Source organism: Homo sapiens, chromosome 18 (genome assembly GCF_000001405.40).
Source record: "Homo sapiens chromosome 18, GRCh38.p14 Primary Assembly".
NCBI lineage: Eukaryota > Metazoa > Chordata > Mammalia > Primates > Hominidae > Homo > Homo sapiens.
Genome location: NC_000018.10, coordinates 35,360,993 through 35,383,344, shown reverse-complemented (window position 1 = coordinate 35,383,344; position 22,352 = coordinate 35,360,993). Strand labels below are relative to the sequence as shown.

The 22,352-nt window shown below is 42.0% G+C and overlaps 1 protein-coding gene across 8 annotated transcripts, besides 2 other annotated features; it reads left to right on the top strand.

The window, feature by feature from the left end:
• Positions 6,008-16,651, top strand: ZNF396 (zinc finger protein 396). Of its 8 annotated transcripts, none has more exons than XM_017025689.2 (5): positions 6,008-6,067; positions 8,981-9,469; positions 9,745-9,889; positions 13,685-13,828; positions 14,900-16,651. In XM_017025689.2, the coding sequence occupies exons 2-5, from the start codon at positions 9,053-9,055 to the stop codon at positions 14,992-14,994; spliced, it is 801 nt and encodes a 266-aa protein (XP_016881178.1). In that variant the 5' UTR covers positions 6,008-6,067; positions 8,981-9,052; the 3' UTR covers positions 14,995-16,651. The 8 variants fall into 8 exon arrangements, with proteins under 8 accessions (XP_016881178.1, NP_665699.1, NP_001309219.1 ...); NM_145756.3 differs by having other exon boundaries at positions 13,685-14,029; NM_001322290.2 differs by adding an exon at positions 6,713-6,949 and having other exon boundaries at positions 13,685-16,651.
• Positions 6,223-6,292: a silencer, noted in NCBI's record as "silent region_9399". NCBI's record gives its function as "represses an Ori minimal core promoter by ATAC-STARR-seq in GM12878 lymphoblastoid cells {active_cell/tissue: GM12878}" and the evidence as "EXISTENCE:reporter gene assay evidence [ECO:0000049][PMID:35858748]".
• Positions 6,303-6,492: a silencer, noted in NCBI's record as "silent region_9398". NCBI's record gives its function as "represses an Ori minimal core promoter by ATAC-STARR-seq in GM12878 lymphoblastoid cells {active_cell/tissue: GM12878}" and the evidence as "EXISTENCE:reporter gene assay evidence [ECO:0000049][PMID:35858748]".
• Positions 16,652-22,352: the final 5,701 nt, after the last annotated feature.

Sequence of the window (22,352 nt, the reverse complement as noted above, 5' to 3'; positions counted from 1 at the left end):
TTCTCCCATCTCAGCCTCCTGAGTAGCTGGGACCACAGGCATGTGCCACCACCCTTGGTTAATTTTTTAAATTTTTTGTAGAGATGAGTGGCGTCCCCCTATGTTCCCCAAGCTGGTCTCAAATTTCTGGGCCCAAGCAATCCTCTGGCCTTGTAGTTTGTTTTTCTTTATAATGTCTTAAATCAAAACTTAAAAGTTAACAACCAATTCAATTTTAAAACAATGGGCTAAATAGAACCCGTCAACAGACTGGTCATTGTCAAGATTTATAGCTTGTGTCTTCTGTTAGACCCTGCCCCAAGAAAAATGCACATATGCACCTAGAAACATATATTTCAAGAGGTACCCAGCAATGTCTGTTAGAGCTTTCTGTGCTGATGAAAATGTTCTATACTTGTGCTGTCCATTATGGGAACCACTAGCCACATGAGGCTAGTGAGCATTTGAACTGTGGCAAGTGTGACTGAGGAATTGAATTTCTAATTTTAATTAATTAAAATTTAAATGTAATTAGCCACAGGTGTCTAGTGGTTACCACGTTGGGTACACAAAGAGCCACAGATCATGGGTTAAAATTCCTCTCAAATGCTTGTCTTCTCAAAGATTTTTTTTCTTTGAGACAATTCTTTATTTAGCAAATATGGAGACTCTCCCCATTGGCTGCTGTGGTGGGTTAAAAAATGGTCTCAAACGATATCAGGTCCTAATTCCTGGAACATTTACAAATGTTTACATCACATTTACCAATGTTACCTTATTTGGAAAAAGAGACTTTGCAGATGTGTTTAAATTAAGGGTCTTGAGATGGATAGATTATTCTGGATTATCTGGGTGGGACCTAAATGCAACCACATGCATCCTTATGAAAAGGACGTAGAGGGAGATTTGAAGATGTTGGCCTTGAAGATTGGAGTGATGCAGCCAGAAGCCAAGGAATGCTGACAGCCAAAAAATGCTGGAGGAAGAAAGGAATGAATTCTCCTCTAGAGCCTCCAGAAGGAGGACTGCCCTGCATGCTGTCACTTTAAGCCCAGTGAAATGGGTTTCTGACTTCTGGCCTTTAGAACTGTGAGGAAATATATTTCTGTTGTTTTAAGCCACCAGATTTGTGATAATTTGTTGCAGTGTCCACAGGAAGCTAATACAAGTGCCCACTGAAATCACCTGGGGAGCTTTAGCTACATTATTTCATTTAATCTTCAGATTATTATGATCCCAATTTTATAATCAGGAAATAAGGATTAGAGAATTTTAGGACTTAACCCACAGTAGCTTGCGGCAGAGTTGGGGAGTGAACCCAGGTTTGTCTGTTGACTTTGAGACCACATTGGATTTCATAAACAAGGGAAAGAAAAATGTGTAAGATGACTCCTAAGACTTACTGCCTGGAACATAGAGCTAACAGCAGTTTCACTATCAAAGCAAGGAATTTGGCCTATTGAGGGTGATGGAGAGAGAAGATGAACTCAGTTTGGGATACTTCCTGATATGGTTTGGCTTTGTGTCCCCACCCAAATCTCATTTTGTAGCTCCCATAATCCCCATGTGTTGTGGGAGGGACCCGGTGGGAGATGACTGAAGCATGGGGGCGGGTCTTTCCCCATGCTGTTCTCATGATAGTGAATGGGTCTCATTAGATCTGATGGTTTTAAAAACAGGAGTTACTCTGCACAAGCTCTCTTTTCTCTTGCCTGCTGCCATCCACGTAAGATATGACTTGCTCCTCTTTGCCTTCTGCCACGATTGTGAGGCCTCCCCAGCCATGTGGAACTGTAAGTCCAACTAAACCTCTTTCTTTTGTAAATTGCCAGTCTCAGGTATGTCTTTATCAGCGGCGTGAAAACAGACTAATACACTTCCTTAATTGTTTTCCCAACTTGATACTTTATTCACGTCTTCCACTAAGGGAGAGAGAGCTCCCCTAGTTCCCTCACACAAACTCTCATATCTGTTCACTGTGTGAAAAAGAGTCATTCGAAATCTAAGCTGCTAGAACTCTAAATTATTTTAGGACTTGGAAGAATGTTATTACTGATCCTGAGTCACATGGTAGGCACCTATAAACTAGGGAGCTATAACCTTCTGTTTCTCTGATTACAGATGAAGCCTTTTCCCTTACCTGCATTGTTTTGTAAAATGTTATATATGGCCAAAGGGAAGAGGAAGACCCCTTCCCTCTCCACTGTTGGCCTTTATTATAGATTCACCTTTCTCTTACCTTTCTCACACACAGACTTCTTGACTATCACATTGACTTAAGATAGAATGTTAAATACACTCTTTTAAATTGGAAACCAAATGAAAACCAACTATAAAGAAAACAAGCTATATGGAAAAGAAAACAAACTAACTAATTAATTTGTTGAAACTATTAAGCCAGCCTTGTATAGAAAATGTTGCAATCCTGATAAATTTCTTTGTCTTCTTCCTATATTAGCAAGATTTAACTTTTAACTTTGGAGCACTGATCCCATTTCTCTGGAGTCTGTGTGTCCTGGAATGGCTATTCCCAGCTTTTTGTTTGAATAAACTCTTTAAAACTGGATTCTGACCCTTTTATTATTTCAGGTTGACAAGTGTGTACCCACACTTGGACTCCTACACATACAACCCATCCACCACTTGCTTGGAAACCATAGTTCCATTGTAGGCAAATTGCTTTTTATTGCTCAATCTAAATTTCTTTTTTTTTTAATTTTAAAGTTTTTATTTTTGTTAATTTTTTATTTCAGTTTTGGGGTACATGTGGAGGCTTGTTATACAGATTAACTGAATGGGGGTTTGGTGTACATATTATCTCATCACCCAGGTAATAGGCATAGTGGGTAGTTTTTGAACCCCGACCCCCCACTCAAGTAGGCCCTAATGTCTATTATTCCCCTCTTTGTGTCCATGTGTACTCAATGTTTAGCTCTCACTTATAAGTGAGAACATGCAGTGTTTATAAACCTAAGTTTCTTTTTTTTTGAGACAGGGTCTCATTCTGTTGCCCGAGTTGGAGTGCAGTGGAATGATCATGGCTCACTGCAGCCTTGACTTCCTGGGCTCAAGTGATTCTCCCATCTCAGCCTCCCAAGAAGCTGAGACCAAAGGTGCATGCCACTATGCCCAGCTAATTTTTGGTATTTTTTTGTGGAGATGGGGTTTTGCCATGTTGTCCAGGCTAGTCTCGAACTACTGGGCTCAGGCAATCCTCCTACCTCGATCTCCCAAAGTGCTAGGATTACAGGCATGAGCCACCATGCTTGAGCCAACCTAAATTTCTTAACCTTCTAATTCCTTATCCTATAGAAACATGGCAGCTGTGTATAATACATCCACTTCATGCACCTCGGGTCAAAAAAAACAAGGGTTATGTGTTTAGACAGACACAGATCCATGCCCCTAAAAGCTTCTACCTAGGTGGAGAGCAAATATGTTGGGATGAAGGGAGTGGTGAAGAGTACAAAGTTGAGAAATAAATGTCTCTATAATGTCATTGTAGAGTGATTGCCTTAGAAATGGTTCATAAAAGTCATAGAGATCTTTACATACCTATATAAGGGAAGCATTCAGATATAAAACATGTTTGATATTTATTTTCACATGATCACACAAAATGTCCAATTATGTGCAGTTATTGATGATAGCATCCCATTCAGCTTCTGATCCAGTCTACCCAAAAATCCCCTCAAATATCCACATAAGCCATTGTCAAACATACTCTGTTGTTTAACTTCCCTGAATGACACATTATGTACCCAATCATCTGTCAGTCTTCCATCTAAGCAAGCACCAGCCTCCCAAGTGTTTCCAGAATCTGCCTCCATTCTCGTCCCCTCTGTGCTAGTTCAGACCTTCACCAGCTGCAGCCTGGATCTTTGCAACAGCTTCAGAGCTGGTAACCCTGTCTTGAGTTTTGCCTCCCTTCAGATCTATCCTTCGTGTTGCTATCAGAGAGCCCTACCTGAATTGCAGATGTGCACATGCCACTAATTCAAGTTTCTGCTTAAAACCTTAGTTCATAGCCCTTTACTTGGCCTGTCAAACCCTTTAAAACTAGGCTGCTGTTTGCCTCTTCAGCCTCATCCTCAGCCACTCATCCTGCTGTCCTTTAATCCAGCAAATCTAAACAACATCCCACACTGGTACCTCAGTCTCAAATGTATCAACACCAGCTTTCTCCATCAACTCCAATCCCAGTCTCTACCCAGGACCTCCCTTTCTTTGTGCTTTTATAGTATCCTGCAGTTGTCTCCATCAGAATGTTGCCACATTGTTTAGAAAAGTCAATTTATTCATCTTTCTCTTTACTTAGTCTATTAGCCCCTAAAGGGCAAGAATCTATATTTTACCATTGAATTCCCGGTGTTTACGATACAACTGGTATATAGTAGGTGCTCACCCTACTGGGACCTTATTCCTGCTAATTTCTTTTCACTTTACCCCCAAAATTTTTAAAAAATTAAAACAGCAAACAAAAACCTGTTCTTGCTCTAACTACCTGACTGTGAAACTTTTCTAATCAATCTTTTATGTCTGCTCCCTTTTTTGTTGTTGCTGTTTTTAACTTTGGCCTCTGATATCTGGCTGTTTGGTGGACCATACCCATGAATTCATCATCCCTGACCTCTTGCCACATCCCACAGTTCCTCCTTCTCCTTGAAGCTTCTGACTGTCGTTCATATTCTCCTTAAATTGTCTCCTGTGACTTCACACCACTGCCAAGCCTTGCCCTCGTTTCAAATTCTCCCCTGACGTGAGTCATTTAACCTACCCTACCCACCAGCGCCAGAAACACATTCCCACCTGCACTTTTGGGCTGTTTGCTATTTGTGTTGGCAGCTGCATCAGCAAAAAGTCTTATCCTGTGAAAGCCCCTTGTTTGAAGCAAGAATTTCTTCAGATTTAGTTTTACTGTACTCTAATTGGGATCCAAACCTCTCCCTAGTCCCCTAGCGTCATAAACTGAGTAAACCAGCCTCTTCTTTCTTCACTTCAGATTCCAGTACTAACATACTTTTGGGGCGGCGTCATACCAAAAGGGATTTTTTGTTATTGTTCTTTATTAATTAGCAAGTGCTTTTCAAGCATCTCCGTCCTCTCCCTAATTCCTCAGTTACGAGTACAAGTACATTTTCCAGGAGTCCCTAGGGAAAGGGGCTAGAGAAGGAAGTCACGAGGTGGGGCTGTGGTGCATTTAGGCTTAAATTTATTTATTTATTTATTTTTTGAGACGCTCTCACTTTGCAGCCCAGGCTGGAGGGCAGTGGCGCAATCATGGCTAACTGCAGTCTCCACCTCCCCAGATTGAGGTGATCCTCACCCCTCAGCCTCCCAAGAAGCGGGGACTACAGGCATGCGTCTCTACACTCGGCTAATTTCTGTATGTTTTGTAGAGATGCGGTTTAGCCATGTTGGCCAGGCTGGTCTCGAACTCCTTGGCTCATGTGATCTGCCCATCTCGACCTCCCAAAGTGCTGGGATTACAGGCATGAGCCACCGCGCCCGGCCTCAAACTTATTTTTCAATTGAGATTAAGATTATCTGAGGAGAGATATGTGTATGTATTGTAACAAATTTTATGTGGGTCAGTTCTCACTTTTTCAAGGGCCATTGTGTTCTCCTGTGAAAGCATGGGGTTGCGGATGTCAAACTTGTCCCTTAAAACGTCAGTACTTGGGGTGTAACCACTTCGGGAGTGGGAATGGTATTAGGGATTGTACTCAGCGGTAGACAGCACAGCATTCGCCCCTCTCTGTAATCCTTGGCAAGTCACAGGACATTTGAGTTTATTTTCTGTAAAATGGGAATAACCTTACTGAGTTACCGGAGTAAATGAATAATGTAAGCAAAAGCACTTTGCGAAGCAACAATGCTAGTTTATTGAACGGAACACTGAGCAGAGCAGCTGGATTCCCACCGGTCGAGCCTCCCGGTTCTCTTTCCCTGTCCCAAGTGCGCGGCCACAGCGGCTCTTCTCCATGGCAACGTCCCCGCGTTCCGGGCCCCGCCCCGACCCGCCACCAGAACCGGAAGTTGTTGCGCAGCTGGCAGTTCCCCGGTTTCTCCCCGACGGCGTCGGGAGGTGAGACCCGAGGCCTCTTTAGGGCCCCCAGGCTGCGGTCAGAGGCGGTGGTCCCCGGGTGGTGGAAGGGGGACGCGGAGAGGCGGCCGCGGACTCGTCGCCACCCCTCCCTTCGCGCGCAAGTGCAGCACCCTTACACCGTCCCAGATCCCCAGGCCCCTCCCCTCCGCTGCCTGCCCCTGAGTCCGCGCACCCCTTCCCCTCGTCCTTCCCCGGCGGACCCCGGGCGCCTGCCCTGCCAGGTGAACCCGCGCCACCTGCCGCTTCGCCCCGGCGGTTCCCAGCCTGGGAGGCGCGCGGCGCGGCGCGGTGGGCGCGGGAGGTCGGGAGATGGTCGGAAGCCAGCCCTCCCAGAGCCGGCCCACCACAGCAGGGTAGAGCCGAGAGCGGCGTCCCCTGCAGAAAGACCCCTGCGTCCCAGGCTTTGATCGAAGCCTCCCCTCCAGGGACGTTCTTTCTGGTTGTCGTGCGGTGTCGGGGGTTCCTTACCCTCACCTCAGGTTTAGCACAGATTCTGCGCCTGGTGCTGAAGTGACAGGGCGGCCACTCTCTTCCAGAGGCTGCTTTAGCCCCGGGGTCCCTCATATATCCCTTAGGGTACCTGACGGCTCCAAACCGGTGGCCTCAACCCTTCCCACCTCTCAGGTCTTGTTCCCCAGACTCTTCTGGCCCCGCTTCATCTGGGAGCGCGGCTGCCTGCCGCCACTTCCTCCTCTGCGCTGAGACAACGCGCAGGGGTCACCACAAGGGCCCCTGCTGCCTATGGCCTCTAACCACACAGCACCATGGATAAATGTGGACGGCCTGGGTTCAGACCCCAGCTTTGCCCTTGGCCAGAGTACCTGGCTTTGCTGTGACTGCTTCCCCGTCTACAACATGGGGGTAAAAATAATCTAGGGCTTTTATGAGGATTTAACCTTTGTTTATTTTTACTAAGGTGTTCAAAACAGTGCTTGGCACATAGTAAATTCTGTTAATATGTGTGTCTGCTATTGTTTGTTTCATAGCACATCATTGTGTAAAGTTGTATCATTTATTTGGTAACAACTTTATGAACTCACAGGCTTTATACAGGGCCTAGAACAATACTTGGTGAAGTGAGAAAATAAGTCAAATGGCAGGATACATAACGATGGAAGACGGAGGCGCACGTAAGATTTTTAAAGTAGTCATCATTTGCTGAAGTTGTACAAACACTATCATATACCTCCTGCCCAATTTAAAAAATATGATTAGACCGGGTGCAGAGCCTCACGCCTGTACTCCCAGCATTTTGGGAGGCCGAGGCAGAGGGATCACCTGAGGTCAGGAGTTCGAGACCAGCCTGGCCAACATGGTGAAACCCCGTCTCTACTAAAATTATAAAAATTAGCCGGGCGTGGTGGTACACGTCTGCAATCCCAGCTACTTGGGAGGCTGAGGCAGGAGAATCGCTTGAACCCAGAAGGCAGAGGTTGCAGTGAGCCAAGATCCCGCCATTGTACTCCAGCCTGGGCAACAGGGCCAGACTCTGTCTCAAACAAAACAAAACAACAACAACAACAAAATGAGATTAGTTACTGGTGATACTTAACAGTAAAATGATACAAAGGAAAGTGCCGTCCCCCCCCAACTTTGTTGCTAACGAGCTAATAATACTTGAAGAAATCGTTGCCCTCACAAGTCACTATGATTGTGATGGTATTGTGAATTGATACAGTCTTTGTGCAATATTTTGATAATACATAGCAAGACAGAATTTGCTCTTCTCCTTTGATCCTCAACAAGCAGAGGCCTTGGGACATGCTTGAAAGAAATACTTTGAAAGGAGAAAAACAGTATATTCATAAAGATGTGCCTCCCAGCATTAATTATAATAGTGAAATTAGAAACAACCTAAGTATTTTAAAATAGTTAAGTAAGTAATATGGATATGGAAAAAAATAGAAATACATTCAGATGAAGGAACGTGATTGCCTTTTTTGTTGTTTTTTCTTTTTTTTTTTTTTTTGGTGGGGTAGAGATGGGGTCCCATTATGTTGCACAGGCTGGTCCCAAACTCCTGGGCTCAGGTGATCCTCCCATCTCCCACCTCGGCTTCCCAAAGTGCTGGGATTTCAGGCATAAGCACAGTGCCCAGCTGATTGGTTTATTTTTTTTTTAATGGTTCCTTTAATGTCGAAGTAATGTTTTAACAGTAAAAGCTGAAAAAAGTCACACAAAAGTGCTTCCCTCATGAGACTATTTCTTTGAGCTCTTTGCAGCACACTAAATACCGATTGGCTCTTTGAACTGGCTCCAGAGTTAGAGCATTTCTCAGGCTTCCCTTATTTCCATTATCTGGGAGCTTCTATGCAATCCTGGCTGATCTCTTATTGTAATATTCAGTAGCCTTGTGGGCATGGTTTTCAGAATGAATTGTGAATCACTTATGCATATGAATTAATGAGTCTTAGCTGTTTGGTTCTCTTAAAGAAGTATTCTTCAAAAGCATGGTTTCTGGGCCTGGCGTGGTGGCTCAAGCCTGTAATCCCAGCACCTCAGGAGGCCAAGGCGGGTGGATCACCTGAGGTCAGGAGTTCGAGACTAGCCTGGCCAACGTGGTGAAACCCTGTCTCTACTGAAAATACAAAAATTAGCCAGGCGTGGTGGCGGGTACCTGTAGTCCCAGCTACTTAGGACGCTGAAGCATGAGAATCACTTGAACCCAGGAGGCAGAGGTTGCAGTGAGCCGAGATCACACCATTGCACTCCAGCCTGGGCAACAGAGCAAGACTCCATCTCAAAAATAAATAAATAAATAAAAGCATGGTTTCTGTTAAGACTAAGGTCAGTAGTTCCTATACAGTCTTATGTTTCTAATCTTAGTTGTTTTGTTCTAAGAAGCATTTGTCTTTTGTCTTCTTTCCACTTGTTTCTTTAATCATATTTAAGGAGTGTCCATCAGGACAGCTTCACCTCCTTGAGGATTAAAGCCTAACAGTACTGAGCTATTTGTCTGTCAAAATGTCTGCAAAATTGGGAAAGTCATCATCACTCCTAACACAAACTTCAGAGGAGTGTAATGGGATTCTGACAGAGAAGATGGAAGAGGAAGAGCAGACCTGTGATCCAGACTCTAGCCTCCACTGGAGCAGCAGCTACAGCCCAGAGACCTTCCGCCAGCAATTCAGGCAGTTTGGCTACCAGGATTCACCTGGGCCCCATGAGGCTCTGAGCCGGCTCTGGGAACTTTGTCATCTCTGGCTGAGGCCGGAAGTGCACACCAAGGAGCAGATCCTGGAGCTGCTGGTGCTGGAGCAGTTCCTGGCCATCCTCCCAAAAGAGCTTCAGGCCTGGGTGCAGAAGCATCATCCAGAGAATGGAGAGGAAACTGTGACTATGCTGGAGGATGTGGAGAGAGAGCTTGATGGACCAAAGCAGGTAAGAAGGATGCCTGTGGAGATGAACCCCCAGGCTGAGTCAAGAGCACTGGCACATCATTGGGAGTAGAGCTCTCAAACTGTATTCCCACTCAGCACAACTGGATGTATAGGGGTGAAAGTACTAATGGGTGTCCCAGCAAATAGAAGGTGGCTCTACTTTTTCCCTCCCTTTTCCTGTGTCCATGATACTTTTTGCATAGTTTCTTCTCTGTTATTTTATCCTCAAGTCCCAACCTGATGGTGTTCTTCAGCCTCAATTATTCCTGTTTTTAGATCTTTTTTGGACGAAGGAAGGACATGATTGCAGAGAAGCTAGCACCTTCAGAAATCACTGAGGAATTGCCAAGTAGCCAGCTCATGCCCGTGAAGAAGCAGCTCCAGGGAGCATCATGGGAGCTTCAGTCCTTAAGACCACATGGTGAGGGGGCAGGATTCAGTTCATGTTGGAAGGTGTGGGGGCCCTCTGCTCACCACACACATCTCAGCTGATTTATGCAAGAGGCCTCAAATCTCCCCCTCTCATCTCCTCCTTACTGTGGGAACTTCTGTTATTTGTCCTACTAAATGAAGATCTTCAGTATTTTGTTCTTGCTTCTTTTTCAGAGATTCTTATAAAATCTTCAGACTTTAAATCCCTGACATCTGCATCAGGGTTTTCATGCCTTTTTAAAGTAGCCCTTTTATCTTCAGGCAGCCCTTGAGGCCTTTCTGTGGGACCCCAAGGTACACAGCCCAGAGACCACTGATCCTCATCATCATTTCCTATATAACTGCTCAGTTACTGGTGGGATCTCGTAGCAGAATCGCCTATATTGCTGCTAAGGTGACTTTGCTCTCATACGTGCTTTGAATACACTTCTCTACTCCCTCACATCTTCAACTGGCCTCAACTGCTCTTTGCATTGCTTTCTATAAGTGCTCCAGAATAGCTGTGTAGCAATCTATTCTTCCATTGCAGATACTAAACAAATAAGTGCTATGGGGAAAAAATAAAAACAAAACAGAATAAGGGGGCTAGAGGGAAGGTGAGAAGTAGAAATAAGGCTGAGTTAGAGGCCTTGTAGGCTGTGACTGCTCCTGCTTCAGACAGAGTAGCTGTGTTTTCGTCTGTTTTATATATTGGAACTCAATGTAAAATTTCATTTGATAAAAGGGCCATGCTACTTTAAACAGAATGGTGGGGATAGGATCTTATTATATAGAGTGGTAGAAAGGCCTCTCTGATGAAGCGACATTTGAGCAGAGACCCTCCTTCTAGATGATCATCCTGGATAAAATAGGAGCCAGAGATTAAGAGGGAAATCCTACTTGGGAGCATCTCCTTCCTTCTCTCCAGCACTGCTTCCATAGTTCAGGAGTGGCTGATAGCTAAGCAAGGTTAGAGTTTTTCCAAGGGAATTTTTATAAGAAACTACACAAAGGAAATACAGTAATTTAGAAAGAGATTTAGAAAACATTGTTCACCCTAACTTGGCAAGTACTGGCTCTCTGAAGGCTTATACTGGGACACGTAATACCTCCAGTCTAGAAATTGTCTTGGTATACTTAGAAAAGTGAAAGTCTTTTCACGAAAAAGTATTTTCCGTCAGGAAAGGGAGGGAGACCATCCCAGCCTCAGCAGCTTGGTGTGGTGGTGACTACAGAAGTGATCAACCTCAAAGCCAGGTGTGGCAAGAACCACATCCTACCTGTGAATGTCCTCATGGAGGCCTTTCCTACATTTTTTTTTAAGATTCGTAGAAATTTGAAACAGAATGCAACAGGTCCAGGATCTTGCAGTACAAGGCAGAGAGAACCAGAATCACTTGATAGAATAATAGAACCATTTCTTAAGGCCACAACATGATTTCTGTGGTACTGAGTCATGTCTTATGAAAGCTTCTGGGAGATGATCTTGGTCTCAGTACTGTAAAGTACTAATTGATGCCAGGATTTTGATAGTAATGACTAATCATTGAGGTCACTTTGGAATATAAACTATCAAAAATGAATTTGAGACAGAATCCTTACCATTTATAAAATGATTTCCACTTAAACTAGTAATAATAAATGAGTATGCCATATGCTATGGTTTGAATATTTGTCTCCTCCAAAACTTGTGTTGAAACTTAATCCCAAGTGTGGCAGTATTGAGAAGTGAGGCCTTTGAGAGGTAATTGAATTATCACCCCTGCCCTCATAAATGGATTAACTCATTCATGGATTAATGGGTTAATTGGTGATCATAGGAGAACTGGTAACTTTATAAGAAGAGGAAGAAAGGGCTGAGTTAGCATATTAGCATGCTCAGCCCCCTCACCATGAAATGCCCTCCACTGCCTCAGGACTCTTCAGAGGGTCTCCACCAGCAAGAAGGCTCTCACCAGATGCACCCCTCCACCCTGGACTTCTCAACCTCCATAACTATAAGAAATAAATTCTTTTTATAAATAAATTACTCAAGTTCAGGTATTCTATTCTAAACAACAGAAAATGGACTGAGACACCATATTTGTGAATAAATACAATAAATAATTTTAAATTCCTTTTGTAATAACTATTTAGACCCATTTGATTTGATTTTTATATATTTTTTCAAGTTAGGTTTATTTAGTTTGCTGCAGCAAGAAAGAGAACACGGCACAGAAACTATGGGGTGTGTCATTAAGAAGGAATTGGGAAGGGCTTATGTTAAGATTTGAGCTTATGTTGGGTGATTCTAAGGAGATTGTAGAGACAGCAGGTAGATCCATTTTAAGTAAATTCTAAAGAGTAAAACAACAACTCAGTTTTCTTATTCAGTATCACATTGCATCACTAATTCTTCTCCCCAGACTACCTTTCTCACCCTAACCTTTTCATTAGGCCTTGAGAGGGCCCAGGGAATCACTTATCATCAGTACCTCTCTGGGTTGCTTTTAATCTTATTTATATAATTACTTCAGATAAAGGCACCCCCAGTAGTCACAGTCAGCCCCAGCCAAGTCATCTCCCCAGACATGTCCAAAACTGTTGTACTTTGCTTTTATAAACTCATTTTAAGCTCCTGTCTTTCAGCAGCTTCAGTTAAAATGCCACCATGGGCCGGGCGCGGTGGCTCACGCCTGTAATCCCAGCACTTTGGGAGGCCGAGGCGGGCGGATCACGAGGTCAGGAGATCGAGACCATCCCGGCTAAAACGGTGAAACCCCGTCTCTACTAAAAAATACAAAAAATTAGCCGGGCGTAGTGGCGGGCGCCTGTAGTCCCAGCTACTTGGGAGACTGAGGCAGGAGAATGGCGTGAACCCGGGAGGCGGAGCTTGCAGTGAGCCGAGATCCCGCCACTGCACTCCAGCCTGGGCGACAGAGCGAGACTCCGTCTCAAAAAAAAAAAAAAAAAAAAAAAAAATGCCACCATGAGGATAACTGAAGTGATTTCTTCAGGTAATGCAACCACATTACACTGGCATTTTCACATCTGAGTTAGCAGTTCTGCTGGAGCTTTAGGCACCCTGAGTCATAAGGCCCTCTGCATCAAGCCAGGTTTGTGTGCCGCCTGAGTGGCCGCAGCCCATAAGCAGCCATGTACGTTTTTCATGGATGTTAAATGTAATACAAAATAATACAACAAACAGCGATTCAACCAGTAATATAAAATCCATACAGGAGTAGAGGTTTTTCATCAGTGGGTACTCTGCTACCCTTGATCTTTTGAGGTACTAGTTATCCTAGTCTATAATCTTCCCTTTATTGGCCTAACTTATATTTTCTTACTTTATTTTCCACATTCCTTTTTGGCCCCTTGGCTTTCTTCAGCTCATTTCTTTGCATAGTTACTGATTCCTTTATGAATATTAAGCTTTATTTATTTATTGATACTCCAGTACTAAATCTTGTTTGTTACTCCCACTGGCACATTGGATTCCTCTCCTTCTAGCTCTCTGTGTCTCCAATCATTTCTTCTTTCTAAGCCCTTTCTTTCCTTCCAGACTTTCCTTAGTCTCTGACATATCTTTTTATCCTTATTCCCTATTCTGTCTTTTCCATAGAACTTTGCAACTTTACAGTTTAGTTGACTGCCTCCTCAGTATGTAAACCTTTCTCTATGTCTTATATAAACTTCTCAATATTTTGTCTTACACTCTCCGTCCTTCACATTGTGTGTTGTTTTATAAACATGCTAGCAATAATCATGTATATTTCATTTGGATCATCCTTTCTCTTTCCTGGTGACATTTGTTTTTCCATTTCAGATGAAGACATCAAAACTACAAATGTGAAATCTGCTTCAAGGCAAAAGACTTCTTTAGGCATAGAACTGCATTGCAATGTTTCCAATATCCTTCATATGAATGGCTCCCAGAGTTCCACATATAGAGGAACCTATGAACAAGATGGTAGGTTTGAAAAGAGACAAGGAAACCCTTCTTGGAAAAAACAACAGAAATGTGATGAATGTGGCAAAATCTTTAGTCAGAGCTCAGCCCTTATTTTACATCAGAGAATCCACAGTGGAAAGAAACCTTATGCATGTGACGAGTGTGCAAAGGCATTCAGCCGAAGCGCAATTCTGATTCAGCATCGACGAACCCATACTGGTGAGAAGCCCTACAAGTGTCATGACTGTGGCAAAGCCTTTAGTCAGAGCTCAAATCTTTTTAGACATAGGAAAAGACACATTAGAAAAAAAGTCCCATAAGTATCATGAGGGAATCAAAGCATTTACTCAGAGCTATTTCAGCACAAGGGAAGACACCAGATGCAAACGCTCCTTAGTACAAATCAGTGGTCTTAGTAAGCACCAGTCTCCTTTCAAGACTCATGAAAGCCACAGGAGAGAAGGTTGAAGATCTCAGGTCAGCATTATTTGCTTTTCTGCTTATCAATGCAGTCTCAATTCTGACGTTTGCAATTCCAAAGCTTAATTCAGATTTCCATCCCTATGCAGGCCTTGAAAAGGCATTCTCAGACATGTTCTACTATTTTCATTATTAACACATATAATGAATTAGTATATATCTTTTTAGACAAGTATGTTTTTTCCCTCATTGAGAAGGAATGTGTGAGTTACTCAGTGTAAAAATAGACATTCTCCTCCATTTCATAACTTGAGCACTAGAATTCTAAAGACCAAAAATTAAAGCACTCAAAAAGAATTCCTGGCTGGGTGCGGTTGGCTCATGCCTGTAATCCTAGCACTTTGGGAGGCCGAGGCAGGCAGATTGCCTGAACTCAGGAGTTCAAGACCAGCCTGGACAACACGGCGAAACCCCGTCTCTACTAAAATTCAAAAAATTAGCCAGGCATGGCAACGTGTACCTGTAATCCCAGCTACTAGGGAGGCTGAGGCAGGAAAATTGCTTGAACCGCTCAGACAGAGCAAGACTCCGTCTTTAAAATAAATAAATAAATAAATAAATAAATAAATAAAAATAAAAATAAATTCCTATTTTGTCTTCTGTTACTAGATTCAAAATATGAACATGCGATTGCAGAGGCCCAAAAGAATATGTACTTCAAGACTAGGCTGAAGTGCCCCAGGTCACTTTCAGGAGGCAGATAAATAAAGGCCTTATCTTATGAAAGCACACAAGAGCCTCCATACTATTAATATCAAGTTAATTTCCCGTGTTGGAAAAAAATAATCTCCTTTGCAATGTAATTTGGAAATAAGTCAATGGAAACATGAAAATGACTGCTTGTCTACAAGGAGTCAGCTAAACATAAGGAATGTTTTCATAACAATATTAATCTATGGGTGCTTCTGTAAGATGGATGATCATCTTAATATAAAGAAAAAAGGGAGATGAACAAAATTGTCAAACAAGACTGATGTACCACAAGTGTTGTCAAGTACAGTGTGTGTCGGAGAGATGTACCACAGCTTAACTGGAAGAGGAAGCCCGTAACTGCTGATGACAATACTTTCAGTGTCCCCTTTTCTGGCATAAATCAACTATGAATATGTTTCAAGCATCACAAGACAACCTTTTCAGAGTCTTCTGTATTCTTAGTAAGATGAGTTTCTAGACACGCTGTCATGAAATGAGACCCTGGATTTTGATGCTCTTGTACATATGGACAAATCACTGAAGTTCAATTTAAAGGGTCCACTGCAGTCCCTTATAAACAATTGTTGAACCTAACCATTATAGTTTATAAGTTTTAAGACATTTATGGGATATCTTATTTGGCTTATCTATGGGATATGAGTAACTATGTTTTACCTGCATTTAATTCAGCCAGATTCCCTGTTTAAAATTACTGAATCGTACATTATTAAAATTATTCTGACAGTATACAAACAACAAAATTATCTATTTTCCAGAGATTCTTGATAAAACTCTGTAATGTTACTACAATAATACATGTATTGTGTTTTCCATGGTGCTACAGTTACACAATATGGAGGCAAACATCAGAAATCAAAGTCCTTGGAATAAGGGAAGAGACTCATAGTAAACTTCTTTGTCTGGTTGGGTTCCTCATAAAGTATAAAACATTTCATTCTCAGAAAATCCAACCATATCTTAGAGTATCTCCAGAAACTGGCTTAGAGGAGCTCCAAATATGTGGAATTACCACACTCTGCTTAGTTAGTATGCTGATAAATGTAAGATTAGTAGGAGGAGAAGTGAATGTAAATTTTATTATAGAATTTTCTGATAGTGATTATGATTTGTAGCTCTAGTGAATATGAATTTTATATTGAGTTGTGTGTATCTTGAGTCACTAAAAATGTAGGATACTTTTTATTTGGGGCTCATTGTCTTTGTAATTACGGAGAGGAACAAACCATCTATTGAAACAACAAGTGCCTCAGAGATGTATATATTGTGAATTACTGCTTAATTACGGAAAGAGTTTCTTAGGTTCTATGTGAATAAGATGGCAGAATCTAAATCAAGTATTTTGAAGGAAGCACCCATCTTCACTTGGTGCTGCCATCAACTTTGTAAGATTGCATTCTATTTATTGTGAATAATTTGAGTGTTTCCACAGGAAAGTGGTATGAATCATATCGTCTAAGTATATGATGAATCTTTAAAGGGTGTCTCTGTGTACTTTGAATTATTTTGCAGTTATGTAGGTATCCTAATGAGTGAATGGTACTAGTTTATATAAAAGGAGAATTCATTGAGCTAACCTTGGTTTTAAAAATTAGCATTAGCACCCCCATTATATTAATTTTCAGGGATAGTAAATACTCCAAAATGAAATTGGTATTGTTTTCTGGCTTTCACTTCATCTGGGCCTTCAAGATTACCAATAATCCTATATGGTTTGTTTGTTTTTGTTTGTTTTTGTTTACCACTCCCATTCTCTTCAGAGACCAAGTCAAATGTTCATCACTGTCCTTACAACAGTGGCTTAAAACAGCAAGCCTTTGTGTTAGGAATGCTTCTGGATGCAAAATCCATCTTTGGTGGTTTAAACAAATAGGAATTTTCAACCTGAAATCTGGAAGGTGGGTTGCTGGCTCTCAATCTGCAGCTGGAATGACGACTGGTCTAACTTTACCTCATGCTATTTTGTCCGATTTTCGAGAGAGCTGTCACAGCTCTAGGAACTAGGATTAAGTCAGGAAGAAAGGAGAAAGACAGCCATGCTAAGCAAAAAGCTTTCCAAAAACCTTAGCAAAATCTGGCTTATGTTTCCCTGTTGCAACTGTGTCTGGTAGGGCAAGCGTTTTCAACCTCTAGAGGGAAAGCAGGCCAGATGGGGGTTGAGGACGACATTGGGTTAGCCAACCGTGTTTGCCATACTAATCCTTTGCCACCTTCCTCCTTACGGGCAGACAACTATCTTTTGCTTCCTGCATTAAAGGAAAAAAAGATAAGAACTCTTACAAGTTCCTATGACTAAATTTGCCAAATTATTTACACTTTACCCATCATTTCCTCTCCCTCTTCTGAGAATGAGAGAGGGGCCTCTCCCCCGTCTGAGAATGAGAGAGGGGTCTCTCCCCTCTGAGCCTCAGCATTCTCACCTCTGAAAGGCCTTGGCTGCCAGTCATTCTTCCTCTCTTCTATTTCTTCACTCTCTGCCTTCCTTCTGCATCCATCCCTTCAACACTTAAATATGCTGTTGTGACCCTGCCTCCTACCCTATATTTTTCCAGCTTACACTGGCAAAATTCAAGATGGTGGCTAGTCCCTGAGTGAGGGGAATTATGTGGCCCTTAACTTTCCCCTCTTCATATGCATTCATCTCTCAACCAGAGTAATCTTGCTAAGGCATACATTTTATCATGCCCTTTCCCTGTCTAAGACATAGGCTTTCCCTTGTTTTAGGATAAAGTCAGAACTGCTAAACAAGATTGTTAAGGCTCTTTGTGATCTGACCACAGCTTACCACTTCAGCTTCAGCTCTTGCCATTGCCTCTATGCTTCAGCCATTTTGAAATATCAGAAGTCCTCTAGCCTTTGGACCTTTCCATGTACTCCTTTTGAACTCCTATCTAGCTTTCACATGTTACCTAATTCCTGTGTGTTCTTCATGTTTTAGTTTAGGTACCACTTCTTCCCTAACACCCAAAGAGTAGGTTGGAGAGCACCACCACACTCTTATGTTAATTGCATATCAGTCTGTTCTTATCCTTACCATTACATTTATCTCATGAAATAAAATATTTTTAAAGTATTAAATTACAAGTATGGCTGCAAGGAAGAGGAGAATAAATGACACCTTGGGATGGAAAAAGTTATGGAGTAGCAAAAAGAAAAATTTTTAAGGCTCTCCTAGTCCTGGGAAGAGTGAGTCAATGAGAGGGTCAGGCACAGGGTGTCCTTTCACCTCTGTTGCCCAACCCTGCAGAATTTTGGAGGGGGTTAGGGGAGAATCAAGGGGAGAAGGCTGTGCCCCCTTGCCATTGAGTGCATTGGGAGGAAAATTGTTGAACAGACTGCTAGTGCTCCAACACTGAACTCTCATAAAAACAGCCATTCAGTGTTAGGTAAATGGCTTCTATCAGCTAGTATGTGGCTTGAAAGAGATACGGCAGTTCTCTGTGCCCAGTGGGAACCTTGGAAAATAGCTGACTATAGAGCTGGAAAGTTGGGATAGTTGAGCAAGTAACCTTGTGGATCCTGTAGCTAAGAGCTGCAGGGCCCACCAGACCTTACTGGGGACCTATAGCTCTTCCTAGAAACAAAGTGGAGGCAAATCACCAAGGAAGAGACACTGGCCCCCAGCCCAACCAAAAAAACAGATGATTTGTTGCCGCAGGTTTGGTGAGCAAGCACCACAGAAGACCAGCTGCCCAGAATAGAAACCAGAGAAGATCAGAACAGCAAGCCCACCTAACACCTAATCCATAGCACCACCTCATCACAGGGAATGTATGCCCCCCTCACCTTCCCAAGCAGGTGGCAGAAAAGGGCAGAGTGAGAAATAGCCATGAGAGGGAGTTGAACTTAAAATGGACTGAATAATTCAATTTCATAATAACTAAATATAGCAATTTAATTCAGCTCTTTCACCACCCACCCACCCACCCAATGGGGCAAGGATTCAAGAAAAAAGATTATCAGTTATAAAAAATAAACTACATTTTCCTTTGCTTATTTGAGAAGCAATGTGATAACTTTTTGCCCTGCTAAATGGAGATTATATCTATTTCTGTATTGACTCCACTATTTCATGCTGCCTGAGAGCATAAGCTGCCTCATTTACCATTGTTTCCCAAGCATCTGGCACAGTACGTGGCCCATAATAGGCACTCAAATACTTGTGGAACAAAAATATTTGAAAATTATATATCTGATAAGGGATTACTATCTAGAATATATAAAGAACCCCTCCAACTCAACAACAACAGAAATTTCAAAAATGGGCAAAGGTCATGAATAGACACTTCTCAAAGAGGATACCTAAATGGCCAATAAACACATGAAAAGATGGCCAATGTCACTAATCATTAGGGAAATGCAAATCAAAAGCACAATGAGATACCACTTCACAACCATTAGGATGGTTATTATTTTAAAAAGAAACAGGTATTGGAAAAGATGAGGAGAAATTGGAACCTTTGCACATTGCCATTAGGAATGTAAAATGGTGTAGCTGCTATGGAAAACAGTTTGGTGGTTCCTCAAAAAGTTAAACAAAATTCTCATATGATCCAGTAATTCCACTTCTATGTATATATTCAAAAGATCTGAAAGCAGAGACTCAAACAGGTATCTGTATGCCAATGTTCATAGCAGCATTATTTGAAATAACCAAAAGGTGGAAACTACACAAATGACCATCTACATATGAATGAATAAACAAAATTTGGTATAGACATACAACAGAGTATTATTCAGCCATAAAAACAAATGAAATTCTGATACATGCTACAAGGATGAACCTTAAAAACACTATGCTAAGTGAAATAAGCCAGACATGAAAGGGCAAATGTGATTCTGCTTATTTGAGGTAACTAGAATAGGCAAATTCATAAAGACATAAAGTCAAATAATGATTATCAGGGGCTAGAGGAAAGGGGGAATGGAAGTTATTGTGGATACATGGTTTCTGTTAAAATCATGAAAAAGTTCTGGAAATGTAAAGTGGTGATAGTTGAATAACATTACAAATGTTCTTAACACCACTGAATTGTACACTTAAAAATGGTTAAAATGATAAATTTTTGTTACGTATATCTTATCACAATGAAAAACAAAAGCATTGGAAGAAACAAAAATGAAGCTGCTTTTTTATAATCCCTGCCATAATAAAGCTTATATTCTAGCAAAGAAAAGAAAATCCTGTGGAATGAATGTTATTCAAAAGCAAAGAATCTGAAAGATAAAATCCAGATGTCCTTGGTGAAAGGACTGACTGACTGTAAGCCCAAATAATGTTCCCTTTGCCACTAAACATTGAGGACAGGGGATGATGAGATTATCCAAGGAGCCCTGGAAGAATGTTCAAATGGACCATATAGGCCACAAATCCTGAATGGCTAGGAAATAATATAAAAATTGGTTGTAATTTCTTAGACTCAAAATTATTTTCTTATATAAATCTATATGTTTAATTACTTTGCTGATTCCTGAGATTTTGCTCAATGGATGTACCTTATTGTCTGGGTGTATTAATCTTAGTTGTGTTTGAATCTAAATGGTTTGTCTTCAACTGAAGGGTCATTTTTATGCAAAGGTGACAATGACATTGAGAGACAGCTTACATAAGGTGTGGACTCTAGTGTCATAGTTAATGATCAACCACATAGACATTTGGTATCTTTTCCTATATAGCTTTGGGGGCTCCAGTCTATCCATCTTAGAAGTAGTTGTCAGGATTCTAGGTAGAATATCTCCATTTGGACATGTTAATGTGCTGCATCAGAACTGGATCAGCCTATTAATTTTTTTTAATTTTTTGGCTATTACCAGTCTTGTCACCTAGGTGGTTTTACGGTTTGACTTCTTAATACTTTTTCTACCCCAAATGATTAGTCCAAGCCAATCATGATCATCCAATTCCACCTGTGGGCCAGGCATGGTGGCTCACACCTGTAATCCTAGCACTTTGGGAGGCTAAGACCAGAGGATTGCTTAAGCTCAGGAGTTCAAGACCAGCTGGGCAGCAAAGCAAGACCCCATCTTTTTAAAAAGAAAAAAAATTAAAACAAAAACAATTCCACTTGCCTGCTTTTGGTTTAGGAATGAGTATTTCACCCAATCCAGGCCAATGAGACATCAGGAGAAGCCTGCCCCCTGACTTCTGGGAAAAGCTTGCTTTCTTCTAAAAAAAAAAAAGAGACATACAGATGATATCGTCCTATTCCCACATGTTACTGTGAATGGTTATGATGCTAGGAAATGCTGCATCAGCTGGAAGATGAAGCTGACACATGTGGAAGAAAGAGCTATGAAAACTGCAGGATTTTAAGCACATAAATGTGAAGGGAAAAAATAGAAAACAACAGGAAAGCACGACTGAAGCCCAGATGTACCATTCCTTTCAATAGCTATAGTAAAAGAGAATATTTAAAATGAATTATCTAATCATCCACCTTAATAAACTAGGGGGGAAAAAAAAACAAAAAAAGCAACTTAAACCAAGTAAAATGATAAAAACAAGAACAGAGGCTCTGACTCCAGGGAAGATAGAGTAAGCACACTCCCCCTTGTCAGGCCTCTGAGCCCAAGCTAAGCCATCATATCTCCTGTGACCTGCATGTACACATCCAGATGACTGGTTCCTGCCTTAACTGATGACATTCCACCACAAAATAAGTGAAAATGACCTGTTCCTGCCTTAACTGATGACAATATCTTGTGAAATTCCTTCTCCTGGCTCATCCTGGCTCAAAAGCTCCCCTACTGAGCACCTTGTGACCCCCACTCCTGCCTGAGAACAACCCCCCTTTGACTGTAATTTTCCTTTACCTACCCAAATCTTATAAAATGGCCCCGCCCCTATCTCCCTTTGCTGACTCTCTTTTCAGACTCAGCCCGCCTGCACCCAGGTGAAATAAACAGTCTTGTTGCTCACACAAAGCCTGTTTGGTGGTCTCTTCATATGGACGCGCATGAAATTTGGTGCCGTGACTCGGATTGGGGGACCTCCCTTGGGAGATCAATCCCCTGTCCTCCTGCTCTTTGCTCCATGAGAAAGATCCACCTACGACCTCGGGTCCTCAGACCGACCAGCCCAAGGAACATCTCACCAATTTCAAATCCGGTAAGTGGCCTCTTTTTACTCTCTTCTTCAACCTCCCTCACTATCCCTCAACCTCTTTCTCCTTTCAATCTTGGCGCCACACTTCAATCTCTCCTTTCTCTTAATTTCAATTCCTTTCATTTTCTGGTAAAGACAAAGGAGACACATTTTATCCGTGGACCCAAAACTCCGGCGCCGGTCACGGACTCGAGAAGGCAGCCTTCCCTTGGTGTTTAATCATTGTGGGGACGCCTCTCTGATTAT

What these genes read in the sequence shown, in the direction of transcription:
- ZNF396 (NM_001322286.2), top strand. Translation starts at nt 9,053, where the DNA reads ATGTCTGCAAAATTGGGAAAGTCATCATCACTCCTAACACAAACTTCA. An exon ending in AGCTTGATGGACCAAAGCAG is followed by an intron (nt 9,470 to 9,744) that starts GTAAGAAGGATG and finishes TCCTGTTTTTAG; the next exon opens with ATCTTTTTTGGACGAAGGAA. An exon ending in TCAGTCCTTAAGACCACATG is followed by an intron (nt 9,890 to 13,684) that starts GTGAGGGGGCAG and finishes TTTCCATTTCAG; the next exon opens with ATGAAGACATCAAAACTACA.